The sequence below is a fragment of the Homo sapiens genome, chromosome 11 (genome assembly GCF_000001405.40).
Source record: "Homo sapiens chromosome 11, GRCh38.p14 Primary Assembly".
Taxonomy (NCBI): domain Eukaryota; kingdom Metazoa; phylum Chordata; class Mammalia; order Primates; family Hominidae; genus Homo; species Homo sapiens.
Genome location: NC_000011.10, coordinates 131,920,505 through 131,936,835, shown reverse-complemented (window position 1 = coordinate 131,936,835; position 16,331 = coordinate 131,920,505). Strand labels below are relative to the sequence as shown.

Below are 16,331 nucleotides of genomic sequence, written 5' to 3'. Positions count from 1 at the left end.
GATACATAGTAAGTGATTGATAACCCTGCTGTTAATACAGAGTAAGTTCTGTGTCTGCCTCAGTTCCATCCATTGACGTATCATAGTGAGAATTTTTTCCCCAGAACAGTGGCTGATCTTGGAAACCAGTTCCCTTTGTTTGTGTGTGTTTGTGTGTGTATGCATGTGCGTAGTTTTTTAAAAAATTGTTTTTATTTCAATAGCTTTGGAGGTACAAGTTGTTTTTGGTTACACAGATGAATTTTATAGTGATGAAGTCTAGGATTTTCATGCACCCATCACTCAAGTAGTATACATTGTATCCATTAGGTAGTTTTCCAACCCTCACCTCCTACCCACCCTCCTTCTGAGTCTCCAATGTCCATTATACCACTCAGCAACAAGTTCCTTTTGGCCAGTGGTTTGGTAACCCAGAATTTAGTGATGCCCAAGGCTTGATAAAAAGGCATGGGAGAAAACAGCACTTCCACAGAAGGCTCTCAAAATTTAGGACGGACAAAAGACATGTGTCTTACAGTAATACCTCCATCTTCTGGTATTATATAGAGGAATGCAATATAGGATAGAAATGAATTCCAAGATAAACTGAAGTTTAATCCTGTATGTTCAAACTTATTATTTTAATTTTAACCAACGTTAATGACAAGTTGCTTAAAACATATGGCTCACTTGAATACCTTGAGAGACTGAGAATGCTGAATGTGATTTTGCATGTTTTAAAATGTTGCTGTCTCTCGACCATCACTCTCAACACCAATTTTTATATTGATATTCTTAGGAGTTGATGAGATATTTAAGAATCCATTTTTATGCATATATATATAAAATTTCCATGATTCCCCTCTTTTTATCACTCTTAGTTATTGCAATAACTGAGCAAAATTACAATGCTGGTACTTTAATGCTGATTTAAGCTAAGAACAAAGTATCAGTATTAATGATGGTGAATGCCACTATTTTATTAAAAAGTGAGATTTGCCACTGTCTTCCTCTGCCTGTTCTTGTTCTTTGTTCTACATGAGACAGGGTGTGAACCTAGGACAGATTCTTCTGTAATTTTGATCTAAAATTCTACAGGTAAGGAGACTAGTGAAAGAGGTCCTAATTAAAAATATATCATTCTATGGATGAGGAAATCAGGCAACATAAATTGTACCTGGCCCTTGCAGTAAGAAGGAGAGCTGCAGAGGAAATCTGATAAAACAGGCCAGGGAACCCTCCCCTTCCCTCCCCCACCTATCCTCATGACACCCTTCTCTTAACCCTAATTATCTGTGGTCAGCACACATGCGTGCACACTCATGCATGTAACCCTCCAATTCCAACATAACTCCACCAGGGAACTTTGGACATGGAAGTGGCCCAAAACTGGTTTTTAGGACAAATATTTATGACTAATAAACACAAGAAATCAATCCCGATCTCATAAGTGAAGTAGGAAAAGGAAGTAAAAACAAAAAGCCCGACATTCTGAATCAGTGTTAAGTAGGGCAGGTGGCTAGTGATGCTTTCCCAAATAGGTTGTCCATGTTTAATTCAAAGTAGTAATGTGGCAAAGAAATCTCTGAGTACTTCTCAAGCTGTAAATAGTTCATTATGTAAATACCCCAATAACACTAATACAACAAAACCACCGTTACTCTGTTACTTTAAGGTAGCCGAGAATATAAGCACTGCAGTCAGTAACACCCTCCATATTAACTTATCAACCCCATCAGCTTAGTCTGCTTCACCAGCAAACCTATCTGTGACTATCTCTCAATTGTTACTGCCTCCATCATTGCCAAATCTTCCACTATCCCTCACCTGAATACTGCAGTGTCCACTTCTGAGGCTTATAAGCCAGTCTCCAAGAGGCCAGGCAGCAGCGTCCTGTTGTCACCCAGAGGCTCGGAGCATGTCACTGCTCCATTGGAAACACTCTGATGACCTCCTCTTGCACAATGAAAAGAGATCCCTACCTGTGGCCTGGCTTACAGACCCTGCAGGTCTGTCTGCTCCACCTCTCCCCATTGTCTATGCTGCTGCACACACAGGGGTCTCTCTTCTCTCCCTCCAGCACCGGACACTTGCTCCCTGCGGTGTCCTGCTCTCAGATCCTTGCTGGGCCAGCTCCTTCTCTCCATTGACATCTCAGCTCAAATGTCACTTCCTCTCAGAGAGACATCCACTAGCCCACCAGCCACCCAGGCAGCCTCCGTCACAGCACTTTCCCCTACCTGGGATGTTTGTATATGTTACCTTGTTTGTTACTATCTCCTCTCACAAGACCATAAGCTCCAAGAATACATCATGTCTCTCTCATTCACTGCAGAATCCATGATACATCACATGCACATAATAAAAATTTCAATGAATGAATGAATGAATGAATATTTACCCTGTGTCAGGCACTGTAAAGACTTTATATGATTATAATTAATCCTCAAAACATCCCAACAAGGTAGTTCCTATTAATTACTTCTACTATTCTGCCTCTGAAGCTAAGTAAACTTCTCAGCTGACTGCAGAGCCCATTCACTTAATCATTTATTTGTATTCTCCATATATTACTCTGTGATACGCTCTAGGGAATAACGTTCTCAATGGGTTACCACAATACAATAAAGAGCCTTCTCATTCACCAGGAAAAAAAGGTCAAAGATGCTTCCTTCATTTATGTATGGAGTTCATTTTATTGTGTTCTTGCTTCTTAAAAATCAGTAATTGTATACCCCGTGCACATGGTAACTATACATAAAAAAGACCAGTGCTGTTGTTTAGAACACAGGACCTTGGGATCAAAGGGCCTAAACTGTCTGGGATCAAATCCCCATTCAGCCACACGCTGGTCATAAAGACTCCTCCACGTCTCTGCATCTCAGACCCTCATTTTTAAAATTGGGATGGTCACGGGGCTCTGAGTGTTAAAGGAGGTAATATGTAGGGCACTTTGTAAAACAACATCCCCCCCCAGAAAAAAAGAGTTCAGTAAATGCCCACTAGAATTTATATTATTATTAAATATATTTCTGACTACTTAATTACCCAGTTCACGCTTTTCCTCACCAAGCTAGATTTCATCTATTTCAATAACCCAAATTCATCGCCCACGGGACTTTGATATTAAGACAGATTCTTCCTCTCCTTATTCTGCTTGGGTATAGGTTAAGAAGCTTTGAGATAGAGTCTTTCCAGGAAGAGGACACTAAAGCACTAACTTAATAAAACTTTGTGATTAAACCTGGGAGACCTAAGGCACAGTCCAGAGCCATTAGTTTCAAGTTCAGGAGCAAACCACAGCACAAGGAAACTGACTGCATAACCTTAAATAATCACCCAGCAGCTAGAGTGGAAAACAGTGCGTTTCGTACCTTTAACCTAGATAAATGAATGTCTTATTTAGAAAGAGCAAATCCTTGGCGGGGAAACTAGATGGTCAGGCACATGGAACTCCCAGCTGAAACACAAGGTGTTTGGAAAACAATAGTCTCATTTTTGATGGAAGCACCTTACAAACCGGCCAAGTGCACCAGAAAGAGCTGAGCCCAGGTGATGCCTGCGGGTGTAGGGGAGTGAGGTCTCTAGGGCAGGCACCCACCTCCCTGCCCCAGGGCCCCACGCACTCCCTGACAGTCCCAGGACCAGGAGCCAATTGGCAGTGCTGGCTGCACTTGCAGGAGAAACAGCGTCACTGCCAGCTTTTAGTGACAAAAGGAGTGTTCATAGCAGGCACGTTGACAGCTGTCCGAGTGCCACATTTATTTACAAAATGTTAGTTAAATTACTGACAGTTGGCGCTGTGGAGGAAAAGCTGAGAGAAAAGCTGACATTTCTTGATCTAGTGGCGCTCAGCTCACAGCCCTGGCTCTGCTCCCCTGTCTATTTATTAATCCCATTATTTGCTTGTTACTTTATCTATTTATGGCTTCTGGCTTATTCACCGGCCATTGCTTTTAAGAGGCTTTGTGTGTCCCGGGCAGTTAAATTGCTCCACTCAATTCGGTTCCAAAGGCCCTTGGCCTAAAAGATGCCCCAAGGATCGGCTGTTCCAACCAGCCTCTGTACCTCCTGCAGCTCAGGCCCAGCTCAGCAGCATCTGGAAAGTCCCCTGTGGGCAGGGAGCGAATCCCTTTTCAGCACATACTGATGACCAACGCCTGCTCATTAAGGTATAAATCATCACCACCATCAGCATCATCTCCTATTCCTTGTCTGCTGATCAGAGACAGGCTTTCTGTGCAGAAGCTGGATGAAGTGCTTCCATTTTTTATTCTTTCTGAAGGGGCAATTAAGATCCAGGAAGAATTGGGGTGATAAATGAAGATCAACATTCTGGCTCTGCACCGTTTTAGACACTAAAACGTATTTCCAATACAGCATGTACAATCTCTTTTCCTCAAATGTTGAAAAAAGCATATATTGCAATAAACTGTGGTCTTTACCTTTTTCCTGATGTTTCTTCTTATGTCAAAATAATGCATGTTTTTGTTGACAATTTAAACTATACCGATAAGCAAGGGATTATTCTTGTTCTAGACATCCTACTTGGAATCATAGGCTTCATCTTCCTTTCCCATCGACCCGCCCCACTCCACAGCATGTGTCACCAGTTAATTTATTCTATGTTTTGTATGTATTTTGTTCACTGTCTCATTCCACCAGGAGGGAAGTGCTGTGAGGACAGGGATTTTATTATGTTTGACAACTACTGGATTCCACAAAGCCTAGAACAGTGCCTGGCACATGGTTGGCATGGAGTGGATACTTGCTGAATAAAATTGAACCTGACGTTGCCATCCAGAGACACGCTTATCAGTCTTCCTGGTTCTGACAGCCCTGGCTGCTCTGGGCTTAGCTGGAAACAGATCGAGGCACCGCCGTGGTGGGAAAGACTCGTGAAGGCCACGCACAACTCTGAGGTCCTCTCTCCCGCCAGAAATGCGTCAGCTGTAGCTGGTGGCCTCTTGCTGCTCCAGTTCCCTATTGTATTTTGGCTGCCATGGCACAGCCGCCCTGGCCCTCATAGATGCAGGCCCCTTCCCGCCACCACTTCTCCCCAAAACCGCCAGTGTCCCTTCTGTGCTCCTGCACCACCCCCCACCACATGCCAGATTACAAGGTGGCCTTCTAGACCAGCAGTGGCTCCTTCTCAGTCACCTCCTGAGGTCTTGCTTCTGAAGCTCCCCATTCCTAGCCAGGTCATGGGCATGTGGAAGACAGGAACTGTGTCTTATTTATTTCTGTAGCCCAAACATCACCTAGTGCAACGCCCTACACATGGGGATGTGTGTGCAAAAAGCCCCATGGCCTAAACAAATCAGTGTGTGGTCAAAAGGAACACACACACATACACACACACACACACACACACACACACACACACACGTATATATTATTATTATTATTTTTTTTTTTGAGGCACTGTCTTGTTCTGTAGCCCAGGCTGGACTGCAGTGGCGCCATCTCGGTTCACTGTAGCCTCGACCTCCTGGGCTCAAGCAATCTTCCTGTCTCAGCCTCTCCAGTAGCTGGGACCACAAGCGCATACCACCATGCCCAGCTAATTTTTGTATTTTGTATAGAGACAGGGTTTTGCCCAGGCTGGTCCTGAACTCTAGGCTCAAGTGATCCACCCACCTCAGCCTCCCAAAGTGCTGGGATTACAGATGTAAGCCACCACACCTGGCCTAGGAACCTATTTTTATGACACTAATCCTATCTGGTTATGAAAATCCAAAATTTAATTTTTTAATTTAATAATTAGAGAAAACACAAAAAATCTATGTCACTCGCAATTCCACTACGCAGAAACGTTATGAACACTACTATGTTGATGTCAAAGCCTTTCTGCTTTTATTTAATATTTTAGCAGGTGTTTTGTGTACTCACACACACACAGTCAAAGAGCATCAAAGCACTTCTGACTGATGGGTTGTAGACCAGTTAATTACCTGAAATGACTGAGTTAGAGCTCTGCCTTTGTTCACATTCAGGACTACGTTAATTTTAAATTATTAGAAAATGCATAACATCAAATGAAAAACATTTGAAGGAGAATACATAAAATTTCTTTCTATTTGGAGGGAAGAACAAGAAAAACTAGACAATATGTTGTTTGAGAATAATTATATATTTGGTAAAAGTCTAAAGGAAAGGAGGAAATAAACAAAAATTCAGGCCAGTGGTGATCTCCTCAAGCAAGAAAGGGTAGAGAATAGGTGGGAGTGCAGAAACTTTCACAGGTAATAGAAGGTTCTATTTCTTAGATTGTGCCAAGAGAACACAGGTGATCAATGTATTATGTTTTTATACATAGATATATTATGCACATGCTGGTATATAAAATATTTCATAACAAAAGGAAAATACTATGCAATAATATGCATTCGGCTCCCTGTACACATAAAATATTGTGCTCCTCGAGGAAGCATTTCATTAAACATTTGCCGAGTGCAGGGCATGAGTTGGGCCCAGTGTGAGGGGCCAGAAGGTTGAAAATAAGCATGGAGGAAGGAGGACCAACCAGAGGGCAACAAGTACCCTGCATTCTTCCTCTGCCCACCTGCTCAAACCATATATGGCCACCTGTCCCACTCACTTCCACTGTCTAGAAGGGAAGGCTTTGGTGACAACAGTAAAGAGTTAATAGAAAAGTTTCAAATGCATTTCTAATGGGAATTATATATTATTATTGCCTTTTAAAATAGAAGTATGTTTAATTAATATTTTCTCTGCAACTCAGTGTAATTGTTGGGAAATACAGACCAAAAAGTCACTGGTGTACACTGAATGGTTAAACAACCCCCAACACCGAGCAAGGCAATAACATCAACACCAAATGAACAGTAATTATATACTTTTTTAAAGCAATGAAAAAGTGTTTAAAAGTAGATAAGAAAATAAGAATAGAAGCTTATAGCCTCTTTGCTGATGCATTCATGACAAATCATTCTTTCTGGACATTTCACGGATTTCAGCCATCGCAGGACCATGAGCACGAGGTAGCTGAGCCTTTGATCACAAACGACAAGGAAAGTCCAGGGAGCGGCCTGGTGTTTATTCACCCAGGAAAGCAAGCGGACTTCGTGGAATTTCACGATCCTTCGAGGAAACCTTCACGATATGACCATTGGAAGTGGCGTCTTACTTTGTGAATCAGTGTGAACCAAAAAAAAAGAGGAAGTCTGCAGAAATGAGCTTTGTCCTGTATCACAGTTAAGTGCTTAAAACAATGGACGTGGCACAGGGAATTGTGGGAGTGCAGAGGAGGTTCTACACGAGGGCTGTGTCCTGTCTCTAACACAAAAACGCAAAGAAAATACAGCCTTTGCCGTATACAAAAAAAACGGAAAGTTTTTATAAGGGCAATAAGTTACAGAAAAATAAAAAATTAAAAAAAAAAAACTGCTAACATGCAGCAGCTCAAACTGTCAAACTGCTCCAGGGGCTTCCCATAAGACGAAGAATAAAATCCAAAGCCATCACCAAGGCCTGTGGCTTGGACCAGGCCCCGCCCACATGTGCCCCCCCGTTGGTTCAGGCCAAGGATGATCCCTCCTCAGCACCTTTGTATCTGCCTCGGAAACCTCTCTCCTAAATGTGGGCAGGCTCACGCCCTCATTCATCAGATCTCACTCAAGGCCTGCGTAGGAGGGCCTTCCCCTAACCAGGGAGTCTAAACTCGCACACTTCCTCCTTTCCCTCCCTGGCTGCCGCTCTCCTCTTCAGAGCATTCAGCACTACCGGACATTGCATTGTGCGGCCACTTACTTCTTCATTGTCTTCTCGAGTCTCAGGGTCTAGAACGGTGTTAGGCACTCAGCAGATGTGGAACACTTTCTTTCCTGAAGAAATAATTGAATGATTCTAAACTACACACTATGGGAACATGAGAAAACAAGAGGTTTGTACTGATTGAAAAAATGAAGGAAAGGGTGAGAATGATGCTGTTTGCAGGATTTTCACCTGACTTGCTGAGGGGTGGGTGGTTGAGAAAGAGTCAGGGAGAAGGAGGTGGAAAATGCAACCAGGCTAAGCAAGCCATGGGGAATGGTGAGTTCAGAGTTTGCAGTGGGACAAAACACAGACGGGAGACCACAGAAAACAAACAGTTTGCAGTGGGACAAAACACAGACGGGAGACCACAGAAAACAAACAGAGTTTGCAGTGGGACAAAACACAGACGGGAGACCACAGAAAACAAACAGAGTTTGCAGTGGGACAAAACACAGACGGGAGACCACAGAAAACAAACAGAGTTTGCAGTGGGACAAAACACAGACGGGAGACCATAGAAAACAAACAGTTTGCAGTGGGACAAAACACAGACGGGAGACCACAGAAAACAAACAGAGTTTGTAGTGGGACAAAACACAGACGGGAGACCACAGAAAAGGTTTGTGTCTGGAGATTCTGGCAACAGCCAGAACGTCTTCCAGCATCCTCTATACATGCCTAAGCATTTTAACTTGTTTTTGCTAATGGAATGTATTAACAATATGAAATAACTTGTTTAGTGCCTCATATATGCCAGGTACAATCCTTAAGAATTTATATCTTGTCTTAATGTAATTATTAAAAATACTTACGATAAGTATTATAAGTATCTAGCCATGCTGTAAAGAAAATTCACAGGGTAGACCATTGGGTAACCCTTGTAAAGCATTTATCATGTAAGCATAGGTTCTCATTAAGTGCTTCTACCGATGTTGGTTTCTGTTGTTATTATTAATATTATGGTGATGATTTTTGTAACAACTCTGTCAGGTAGGTATTAAGATATAATTTAGCCCCATTTCACAGATTAAAAAAAAAACAAAGGCTCAGAGAGATTAGGTTAATAATTTTACAGCTCAAATTAAGTCCCAGCTTAAGTTTTTCCCAACACCAGAATCCTTTGTTCCCAATATAGAACATATTCTCAATTCACATGTTTCATGCAGACTTATAAGTTGAGTATATATGTTTAGGATAAATATGTATATACTGTATCTAGCCATGCTGTAAAGAAAATTCATAGGGTAGACTCCTGGCTATTGGGAGCTGACTATGTGTGACCCCATCTCTGATGCTACCACAGGGCTCTGTGATTTTATGTCTCTGTAACAGTGTCAATGAAATCCTTCTCTGGGTATCAAGTGTCCTTCTACACTATCAAGTATCCCACATTTGCTTTCCTTCTTCCTGTTAGTAAGTACGGAACCCCATGTTGTGAATAGTATTTTGAAAGTCTGTTGAAACTGTGTGCTTAAAGGAATCAGCAGAAGCCAAAGTGGCAACAGTCAAGTGCATGTGGCTTCCAGAGGAAGGTGACCATAGGCCTTAGGTGAAAAGACAAAGCTGCATCCATTTACTGTGGATAAAAATTCAAACAAAATATATACACTTCCCATCTAGGCTTAACTCTCCAAGTCTTCCTAGAGACTTGGGCAAGATTTTGTTTTTGACAATGGCTCCAAGGCCAGGCCAGGATCCTGGTGTGGTGCTTGGAGCCCAGCACCAACTACTAATTATATATTAATGGTAACTAGGAAAGCAACTACTTTTTAAATAACAAAGGCAACCCCAGGTGCAGGGAAATGTCAGACTGAATGCTTAATAAAGTTGGTGCAAAATGCCCTAGGATGCAATGTTAAATTTTCAGCCACAAATGGAGATAATCCAAGAAATTTTTTAAAAAGGCAAAAATCTCACTTCCTTAGCATACACACTGTGTAGGTTTGATTACTGAATAGAGAGATGAAATATGTGCTAAATAATTCTTCTGAACAGCTCATTAGGCCTAATCCATCTCTGATTTCTATGAGTCCATTAATTCCAAATACGTGCCTACTTATACTTACACACACATCCATACATGATCGTAAAATGCCAGCTTAATTTCACAATGTAATATCTTGGAAATGGCAACAGGTAAAACGTCAAATTGGATATCATGCACATTTTAAACGTTTATAACTTGCAGATGTGATAAGTGAAAATGACAAGAGTGGACCCAAGAAGGATGACATTTCAGTTAGAAAACCCCGGATCCTCGCGGCTGGATGTGTGTGCTGCAGGGGTGACACATCAAATATGGGTTGCCACAAATCCACAAAGTCCACACGGAAACTACCAGGCCTCTGTGCGCAGCAAGTGAATCCACACAGGTGTTGGGGCTACTTGCTTATGTGGGATTTTTATTTAATTCCCATCTCCTGAGAGCTGTGCTCCTATCATCATTCACAGCTTAATCTTGACATGGAAAGAGCACTTACAGACACCGAGGACCCCCCAGATCCCTTTGCTGACTGCCTGCCCCTTATTCAGCTTTGACCCTTCCTCCTCCTTGCCTTGCTCGTCTTTGACTAGGTCATTCCACTTGCCGATACTCTGCCCAGCACGCTATTCCCTGCATGGCTCTCCCCACAGTTCACCACCTTGACCATCGTGCAAGCCCCTACCCCTCCCTGCACACCAGGTTACTCTGTCCCCTAACCTACAGTTTACTTCCTGCCCCAATACTTTCCACCATGTGATGCGTTGTTTGTTTGTTTACTTATTTGTTTTCCGACAGCTGGTTCCTGCTAAGTACAGTTGTGCAGCTTGTGCGCTGCTCAAGGGCTGAAGAAGGTAACAAAATAATGCAGCTGGCACTCTGTTTACTCAGCCAGGGACTCTAGTGAACAACATCGTCAGCGAGGAATGCCTACTCCTACTTGGTCTGTGCAAGTTGCATGCTAGGAGAAGATGCCTTTTTTTTCTAATCCATACAAGTTGCAACCCTCATCTCCTTCACTAAACATCACTCTGCAAGAGAGGAACTTAGCACCTAGAACAGCTCCTGGCTCATAGGAGATGTACAGTAGGCACTACTGAAGCAACACAGCAAAACACATGCATCTATTCTCCAAGGATACATTCAGCTCCTATTATGTGCCAGGCACTGTGCAGCATACCAAAGCAACAACAAAAGTAAGACAAGATCCCTGACCCCTGAATTACAAAAGGTGGAATCGAGGCACCTGAATCTTGCCCCGTGTCTCTGCATTGCCTCCATTCCTTGTACGTCTCCTACCCACAACTCTGGCTCAGCCTCTTCCCCTTTCCACAGCTTCCTTTCTCCTTTACCCAAATCCATACACGATTTCTCCACCACCTGGTTTCTCTTCAAGGCTTGGAACTCTGGCTGGGTGTGGTGGCTTACATCTATCTGTAATCCCAGCACTTTGGCAGGCCAAGGCAGGCAGATCACTTGATCCCAGGAGTCTGAGACCTCCTCGGCAACATGGTGAAACCCTGTCTCTCAAAAAAATACAAAAATCAGCTGGGCATGGTGGCATGTACCTGTGGTCCCAGCTATTTGGGAGGCTGAGGTGGGAAGGTAACCTGAGCCCAGGGAGGTTGAGGCTGCAGTGAGCTGAGACTGCATCTCTGCACTCCAGCCTGGGTGACAGAGCGAGACCCTGTTAAAAAAAAAAAAAAAAAAAAAGAGAAAAGAAAGAAAAAAAAAAGGAACTCTAATAGTGGTTTTCTCTTCTTTCTCTTTAACATTTTTGAGAACAAGCCTACAAATCATCCTATCTATCTCTTTAGTGTGTGTCAATTAAAACACTGGATATTAGAATACTTCTGGCACAAAAGGTTAAACTAAATAAGTGACCTCCAGCCATTAATGAGTAATTTATCATCTAAGAGGTATTTTCACCAATTATAGCATGTCTTGAGTTAAGTCCATTATGGATATGTGCTCATTTGCCTCAAGGTAAAACTTTTCCTTGTCACTGGTTTTCACATTCCTGTAGAATAAAGCAGACATGTTACTTGGACCACAGATGTAAACAGTCAAGCAACTGAAAATCAAACATTTGAGACTTCCGTTTGAAAAGGCCATGGTTCTCACTTTCAGACACATGCAAAAATCACCAAAAGTCTTGCCAAGAAATTGTAATAAGTGCTTAGGTCTGGATTCAGAAACTACATCTGTATATTTCTATGCAGCTGAAATCAGAAAATATAAATTATAATGGTTGAGTATTGAATTAGATAGGATAATGCTAGCTATTGTAACAAATCATCTCTGAACTCTCAGAAGCCTGAATACAAGTTTGTTTTTTCTTTAGGTAATAATTTAACAAGGTTCCTGGCCAGCTGGTGGGTGGGGGTGTGAGCCCTGCTCTGTGCTGTCATTCAAGAATTTGGCCGATGGAGCTCGCCAAACAGGACACAGGTTTCCAAGGTAATTTTGGACATCAACATCCAGATGGTCTAAGGAGAAAGGAAAGAACATAAAGAATTTCACAGGGGATGTTTTTCTGGGCCAACCTACACAGAGCTTCGGCTCACATTCCTTTGGGTAGAGCTGTCACATGGTCACCTCTAAATTCAAAAGAGGCTGGGAAAGGCAGCTGAGTTTGTGCTCAGGGGAAAAATAAAAAAACTTATATATGATTTGAGCAGCTAGTAATCTCTTCCTCAAAACTCAAGAACGAAACAGAGCAGTATTCTCACTTCACAGAGTGAACCTGAAGCCTGGGAATGCTCATTTTCTTAGTAGCCCCACATGATGCGTTGGGACAGAGCCAGGACTAAAAGCCAGGTCACCTTGGCCCCGAGACCACAAGTCACATGCCAAAAGCAATGAACTGCGTTGATACTTTTCAAAAACCACCCCACCACCAGATGTCTGTGTAACTGTAGAGTGTGCACCAGTGTCAGCCACGGCCCCCAGCTCCGTGCCCTGCACTGTGCATTTCCACACATAGCTCCAGGGTCACGAGAGGTACACCCTGCCCTCTGCCCACCACGGGCCCACTGCAGGCCAGGTCCTTCCTCAGCTATGTAAGGCTAACACCAAGTATGAGCAGAGTGCCAGGCACTGTTCTGAGTACTTCACGCTTCACACTGGCCCGGAACCCCTATTATTAGTCCCTTCAAATGATGATAAACTGAGGCACAGCAAGGCTAATCCATGTGCCAAAGGTCATATACCCAGTGGCTGAGCCAGCATTTGAAACTGGGGATGGGAGGAGGGTCGGGCTCCAGACCCTGCACTTAATCATTATCCTCTAGAGCGCTAAGGTACAATTCTCTTAATAAAGAAAGGTTAACATGAAAGATTGGACATTGAATGACGCGTGAAACTTCAGGCTCACAGCCTGATTTCTAGCTGCCACTTCACTTCCTTCCCTTCCCCCAAAGTTTGTAGGCCTTGAGCAGAATAATCCTTATTCTCCAGTGTTTATTAGATTTTCCATAAAACCCCTTGCAAAAGTGGATATTTAAAGGCCCTTTAGATTCCACATGTGTAGATTTTATGAAGTGTGTCACATTGCCTGACAATTTCCTCCTCAATGTCTCATTCCACTCTCTGACCTAGAAAACAAACACGCCAGCTCACGCACACCCTATCTGAACTCTGTTTAATAACACCCAATCCCATGCCAATACAGAGACAGACCTGAGTTTCCTCTTTCTAGTAAAAGATAAATAATTTCACTATTAATAGCTTACTATTATTCCTAACAAACGTTTCATTCACTCAACAAATATCCTGTAATAGATCCCATGTCCCAGGCAGTAATGTAATCACTATAAATGAGAGCAATAAACTCAGCAGCTTGGTGGACCTTGCATTTTAGGGGGAGTAGCAATAAATGAGAAATACATAAATAACAGAAGACATACATAAATAACAGACTTCTCTAGGTGTTACAGGCCATGAAGAAAGTTAAAGCTAGGTAGAGGGATAGAAAGATGGGGGCTGAGGACATGGCTATTTCAAACAGGATGATCTGTAAAGCCTTTTTTTTTTAAACGGGGTACTGGAGTAGATGCATGAATTCAACGAAGGTCTAGGCCCATAAGTTTATAGCAGATCCTGAGAGAGGGAAGAACATTTCTTAAGTCAAGAACAGTCTTAGTAAGTTCCAGGAACAGCAGAGAAGTTCAGCGTTCTGCATTCCCACGAGCGAGGCAGCAGCGACGTGGGCAGTGGTATGAGGCTTACATAGGCACCAGGCGATTAAAAAGCCTCTACTCCATGGAGGTGTTTGCATTTCATTCTAAGTTTAGCCAGAAGCCACTGTAGGTTTTGAACAGAGTCAGGTAATTCTTGTGAAATGGTAGCTGGGGCTGCCAGGCAGATAATAAACTCCAGGGGAACAGGAGTAGAAACAAGGAGACCAGGCAAGATGCCACCAGAAGAGCCGAGGAGAGACGGTGGTGGCTTTGCCCACGGAGGTAGTGCTTGAGATGGTAAAAAGTGGTCTGATTCAGGATAACTCTTAAAAGAAAAGACAAACAGAATTTAGTGGTGAATTAGATGAAGCACAGGAGAGAATGAAAAAAATAAAGGATGTACTAGGTTTGCAGTTCCTAAGATCAGAAAGACTGAGGGAAGGGCAGGATGGAGTAGCTGGCCGTGGTCCAGTGGGCCTTGCGTCAAGGGTACTGGCTGGGAGGACCCAGTTTGAATGTCATCATTAAAAGGCTCTGTAGATGAGCAGCAGGATGTGCGGTCTGGAGGACCAGAGTGAAGAAGCGTGGTCAGAACTGATGGCAGATGATCACGGCAAGGAAGGGGCAGAGGGCAACAGAGCCAAGTGGCATTTGCTGCACCCTAACTGGATATGTCGAGAAAGGTGAAAAAGAAATGTCCAGCAGCCATAATGAGTAGCAAGGAGGACGTTTATCCAACTTTCAGGCCTCAGGGTAAGCAAGGTGTGGGAGAAAAACAGCCACTTTTGAGGACTCCAGGAGTGGAAATAATCCAGGGAACAGCCGAGTTTCAACTAAAGCAAAAAAGAAAAAAATAATAATAAGGGGGGAACATTCAAAGCAGAGACTGGAGATGTAAAAATGTTGCTGGTGACAGATCATTAAGTCCAGAGAGTAAAAAGGTTTGGAGGATGAGGAAGAGGTTTGTAACTGGGTTGGGCTGTTGGATGTTGGGATATGAATCTAGAAAACGATGCATGGCCCTGGGGTTGGGGGTCTGTGACTTCTCAGGTGGTCGAGATAACTGAGAAGATACAATAGGGTTTGTGCTGATGGCCTCTGAGGAATAAAAGGGCAAGCATTTCCACCCTGATTGGCTTCTTTAGGATTTGTAATGGAGAGGCTGGGCTCACGACTGAGACCCAGAAGCATTCTGGACTCTGGCACTTCCTCTGTGGACTGCAGTGGCTCGTGTCACAGCTGGGAACTGGGTGATCTAACCAGGCCTATCTACGATCCTTTGCAAGATTGTTACTATTATTTAACAAAATTATTTTTTTAATATGCAAATGTTCCAGTATCCTACTGCTGTCATAATATAGTATCAAAACTGGGGGCTGAAAACAGTGGAAATGTGTTGTCTCACAGTTCTAGAGCCCAGAAGTCTGAAATCATGGAGATCACCGTGTTGGCAGGGCCATACTCCCTTTGAAACTTGTAGGGAAGTTTCCCTCATTGCCTCTTCCTAATTCCTGGCTGCTTGCTGGCAATCTGTGGCATTTCTTGGCTTGTGGGTGCATCACTACAGCCTCTGCCTTTGTTGTCACTCTCTGCGTGTCTTCTGTGTCTCCACATAGGCATCTTTTTACCAGAACACCAGTTATATTGGTTTAGAGGCACACTCTACTCTAGTATGACCTCACCTTAGCTAATTACATCTGTAGCAACCATATTTACAAATAAAGTCACATTGTAAGCTATTGGAGGTTAGGACATCAATATAATTTTTTTATGGTGGGGAGATGGGACAAAATTCAACCCGTAAACCACAGCATTGCTATTTCCAGCTTTTCTGTATAAAAACTGCACTAAATTAAAAATAATTCGCATGCGTTCTTTTTCTTACTTATAGCTTCTGAAGGGTTAGAATTTTGGATTGAGCCCTCCTGACAGGTAAATTTGTCCAAAGATGATTATTCTGAATGTGAGAGCATTTTTTTCACTCATCCAGCACATTAGAGGCCGTTTGAAAGCACAGAAGATTAAGAAACTATTTTCACACAGATACATCTTCCTTTGACTCCATGAACCCAACAAAGCTTGTTTGAAGGTCAATTTTAGTTTTTTTAATTTTCCATCAGTCTGTTGGTTGATGCTGTTTTCATTAAAAATTCTATTATTTTAAGAAATCCATCAGCAAGATTGTAAGATTAGTTCATACGTTCATTTTATAAGACAAATCTAACCCCCCAAAAGCTTTCTAAGCCAAAACATTTCACACTGATAGGACAGCAAGTTGCCCAAATACACCCAAATAAAACCAAATAATTCAACAATGTGAATAAATGAGATTTAAGAAAAACAGATCATGAAAGATCAAGACGGCTATTCATAGTTCACTACATTTAAACTAATTTAAGCCCTTTGACATT

At 42.7% G+C, this 16,331-nt stretch overlaps 1 protein-coding gene across 41 annotated transcripts in view, besides 1 other annotated feature; it reads right to left on the bottom strand.

The window, feature by feature from the left end:
• The window catches only part of NTM (neurotrimin), a 966,208-nt gene that overhangs the window by 399,987 nt on the left and 549,890 nt on the right, over positions 1-16,331 (bottom strand). The gene's annotated exons all lie outside the window — the stretch shown is intronic.
• Positions 5,000-5,166: a silencer, noted in NCBI's record as "fragment chr11:131801564-131801730 (GRCh37/hg19 assembly coordinates)". NCBI's record gives its function as "represses an EF-1alpha promoter that drives an FKBP-Casp9 reporter gene in an ReSE screen in K562 erythroleukemia cells {active_cell/tissue: K562}" and the evidence as "EXISTENCE:reporter gene assay evidence [ECO:0000049][PMID:32094911]".